Source organism: Homo sapiens, chromosome 15, assembly GCF_000001405.40.
Source record: "Homo sapiens chromosome 15, GRCh38.p14 Primary Assembly".
NCBI lineage: Eukaryota > Metazoa > Chordata > Mammalia > Primates > Hominidae > Homo > Homo sapiens.
Genome location: NC_000015.10, coordinates 37219406 through 37223361, shown reverse-complemented (window position 1 = coordinate 37223361; position 3956 = coordinate 37219406). Strand labels below are relative to the sequence as shown.

The window sequence follows — 3956 nt, the reverse complement described above, 5'->3', positions numbered from 1 at the left end:
CCCATCTAAAATGAGATGCAGTCCTGGCAATATGGTGGGCTCAGAAAGCCTGGCAATAAAAGTAGATATACAGTATCTGACATCAGATTGTTTCAAGCTTAATTTCAGTAAAGTAATAATGTCAGGAAAAGAAACGCTCTGAGATGCACAGATTGATACCATTAGATAGAAACTATGCAATGCCTTATGAACACAACCATTTTTGACTTGATATTATATGTAAAGAATAGAGCAATATTCAGTGTGCCAGCTCCAGATTTGCAGTTATAAAAGTTGACCAGGATAGTGGCCAGGGAGAAGGATAAAATATGGCAAAATACATTCCTCTGTAAACAAAATCAAATAGGATTATACCACTCTAAAATATGTTCTGTGTAAATGCCCTCCACAATTTGCCCTGGGTAGTGAATAATTGCCAACATTCAGTGAGAAGGAGCCTCCAAACACAGAATGTTAAACAAATAATGCATATGTATCATAGTCAAACTAAACAAAAGCACGTCGGTGGCACTTCTACCACCACAGCAGAGGTGCATGAAATAATTGGTGAAAGGCGATGTATATCTTGAGAAACCCAAGCAATGAAAGCCCAGTTCCATTTATTTTTCTCTTAAATTGCTTTTTCCAGTTAATAAATAATCACATAATCACATCCTACTTCCAGGAGAACATACGTGGTTGCCACCCTGAGCAGGTTTCATTTGTGGGCTCACACCTCTCTATTCAGGATTCCAAGTGTCAGGTCTGCCTTGGGCTTTCATCTTCACAAATGTCAAGTGTGTTTTGTCTTCAAAAACAATGGTGTTTCTGGTTTTACTTGTCCTGTACGAATCACTCTCTGCTCTCCTTTCTCGTTTGGAGAAGACATTATAGCAAGTTCAGGTGCAGATCAAGTTTGTAAGAAATTAAGTGAGGCATACACACAAGGACAAAAGCACATGTAGAAATAGACACTGCACTCCCCCCTCCACAAACACACACACACACATTTTCTACCCAAATACAGCAAGATGCCCTAACAAAGAGATTACTTGGACATACACCTTTAAAAGCCAAGAAGACAAGTAAATAACCCATAGAGAAATATCCTTTACAATTTTGGAAAATATTATGGCAAGCTTAAGTCAATAGCTATTGCCGCAATTAAAAAAATTATTTCTAAATCCATTTAGTTAAATATTAAGTATGCTCCCTATTATGCTGTGAAATGAATAAAAGAGAGACAGATTACATTTTTTTCTTTCACCTCCAAAATAATGAAAAGATTACTGACAAATCAATATTGTTGCTATTAATAGTTGCCTCCGTCAGCCATTTTGGGGGAGACGTTATGCTTTTCTCGATTTGTACACCACGAGTCTGTTCTCCGTCATTCCCTTTCTCTTTAATCTTGTTTGAGTGTACAGCTCACTCGTCCTTATTTTATTGACTCAATCACAGGCGCACTGTCACTTTTTATAAAATGGTCACTGCAGAATCACATCAAGCAAATTTTTGATTCTGCAGTCAGTAATTTAGTGCCTTTATGGAATTGCAATTTCAGGGCTCACTGCTTGTTTTTCTAAAATGTACTTTAGGAATTAGTTACTCCAGCCACAAATCAGTTGAATTTATGCACAGTTGTAATACAGTTTATGGCCTCATGGTACATTGCTTCAAAAACAGCAGATGTGAAATTATGATAAATATAATGAGTGTTTTTTTGCCTGATCTAGTGGAGTAGAGAAGGATCTGGAGCGTGTTTACCTATCTCATACAGTACATTTAATGTCTTAGTCAGGAGCCCTGACAATGGCTGATTAATGTCCTCATCTCCTTTATTAAAGATAAGAGTAGCACTGCAGTCAGGAGATAGAAAGCACACCATAAATCTTCCTAAAATGAGCAGTCAAATAATCACTCATCAGAAATAAAATCTACATACATTAACACTAACACTCAGCCTTCCACGCACGCTCCCATAAAAAGCAAAAAGAGATGGCGGTCCTGAAGTTTTAATTTGAACTAGTTCTTTAAGTTGAATATTACCAACCCTGTAACCTGGATGCAAAAGCTGGCATTTAAAAGCACATGTGAAAGGAGCAGATGCCTCATCATTACATTAAGAGCATGAAGCAGGCAACAATTAAGCGATTCACTGGAAAGACATAATGCTGATCTATGCTAGCAATTAATCACAGAATACATTAGACAATGATGGGTGACCTACAAATTTTTGACAAAATAATTTTTCATCATGTTGGCGATTTCTTAGCCTAATATGCCTGCAAGGCACAGAGTCAAAACCTGTCATTTATTCCGTCTCTCCTTGACAGGCGGCAACCTGTCTTCCAGACAAAATGAACATTATCTGTGCTCACTAGACATTTAGTGCAGGGCTTAGCTTATGACTAATGATAATCGGCAGACAGAAATGTTAGAGTCTGAAATAATGTTCTCTTTGTTAAAGAAATTTCTTGAGGTAGAATTTTTTTTCCGAAAGATGTATAAAGATAAAAACTGGTTTTTATCTAGGTTTTAATGCAACTCGAAGAACCAATATTTCCCTTCTACCAAAATAAACAGAAGGATGTAACAATTTTTTAAATTAACATCTCATTTGAATACCGACTCTTGCCTGAAAATGTCTTATGTGGTTAGGAACTGAGATACAAAGGAAAGCTCAGGAGATAGAGTCTTAAACAAGAAAATATAGGCAAGCTGTTTTGTGTTCCAGGTTTTATTTTGAATGTGGTGGAAATAAGTTTGAAACATCATGGGTGCATGTGTTGCAGAATATAAATAAATGAAGACTGTGTTGAGAAATGCACTCCCACCATTCCTATTTCTCTTGATTTCCATTCATCACTAGGTTCTTCAAAGCCTGAGACAACATATTTGGGAAAGGCAATTTTGAGCAAGAGAAATGCGTAAAATTGCAAATGTATTAAATTGATTTAAAATTCCACAAGCAAGTGTTTTATCTTGTACTTATAATTAATATAATTGTTTTATATGCTTTGGATGGAGAGAAATCGATTTTTTTTAGTTATTTTTCTTGTGCATTACACGTGCAAAATGCCATCTCAGAGACAGATTTTTCTTTGGATTCAGGCACCAAATTCCTATTAGCCTTAATGGTACTTACACATGCACGCTGATGGCGAATATACCCCCTAAGCTGGAAATTTAAAAGAACAAATGGCAAGGACATCAAAATAGTGAAGTCTAATTTAGATGATCCATAAGCCTGCACAGTTACTTTCCTGAGAAGGCAAACAAATGTTATGCCTTATGATGTTTCCGATTGTTTTGATAGCCCTGTAAATACATCCTCTAGACTCATTAGTTAAAGGGAAAGTCTGTTTTTATCAAGCAATGCAATTTTTGACCACATGTGTTTGGTTTGAATTTTATTTTTTTCTATTTTGCATAATGTGTTATTGCAAGTTCATATAATGTAGTTGATCACTTCAATCACAGCATCTTGCTGTGCACCTATCAAACAGCTCGTATGTCATTCTTTTCCCAAAGATGAAATAGAGGAGGAAAACGCAAAAGGTTTTTGATCCCAAATCATGGTTATTTTATTAGGTTTGCTCCAAATTCCTTCTAGAAAGAATCTGATTGTTGCATAATCCAAAGAAGTACATGTTATTCTGATAAGATGACAGCTGAAGTCCCATAAATCACTGAATTTATCAGTTGACAAAGCCAGATAAATAGTCATCTACCTGGCAAAGGAGGGCCTGTTCTGTTATTATTCAAAATAGTTCAGGGAAGGCTACTGAGAAAATTACCCTTTCCTTTCTGAACATAGCCAGGGCTTCCAGTCCAAGGATCTGGGTACACTGACTATGAAAGTCAATATTTAAAGATCTGTCTGATACCAGGATAACAAACAACTTTAACCTTTAGGGATCACAAATCCCTTATTTTCCGGCTTTCATTTTATCTTTTGCAAAATAAAGATGAGA

General features: G+C 36.1%; 1 annotated feature.

Annotated features, from left to right (window-relative positions):
* Window positions 1006-2889: an enhancer, noted in NCBI's record as "VISTA enhancer hs572". NCBI's record gives its function as "enhancer in: neural tube[6/9] | hindbrain (rhombencephalon)[6/9]" and the evidence as "EXISTENCE:transgenic organism evidence [ECO:0001131][PMID:17130149]".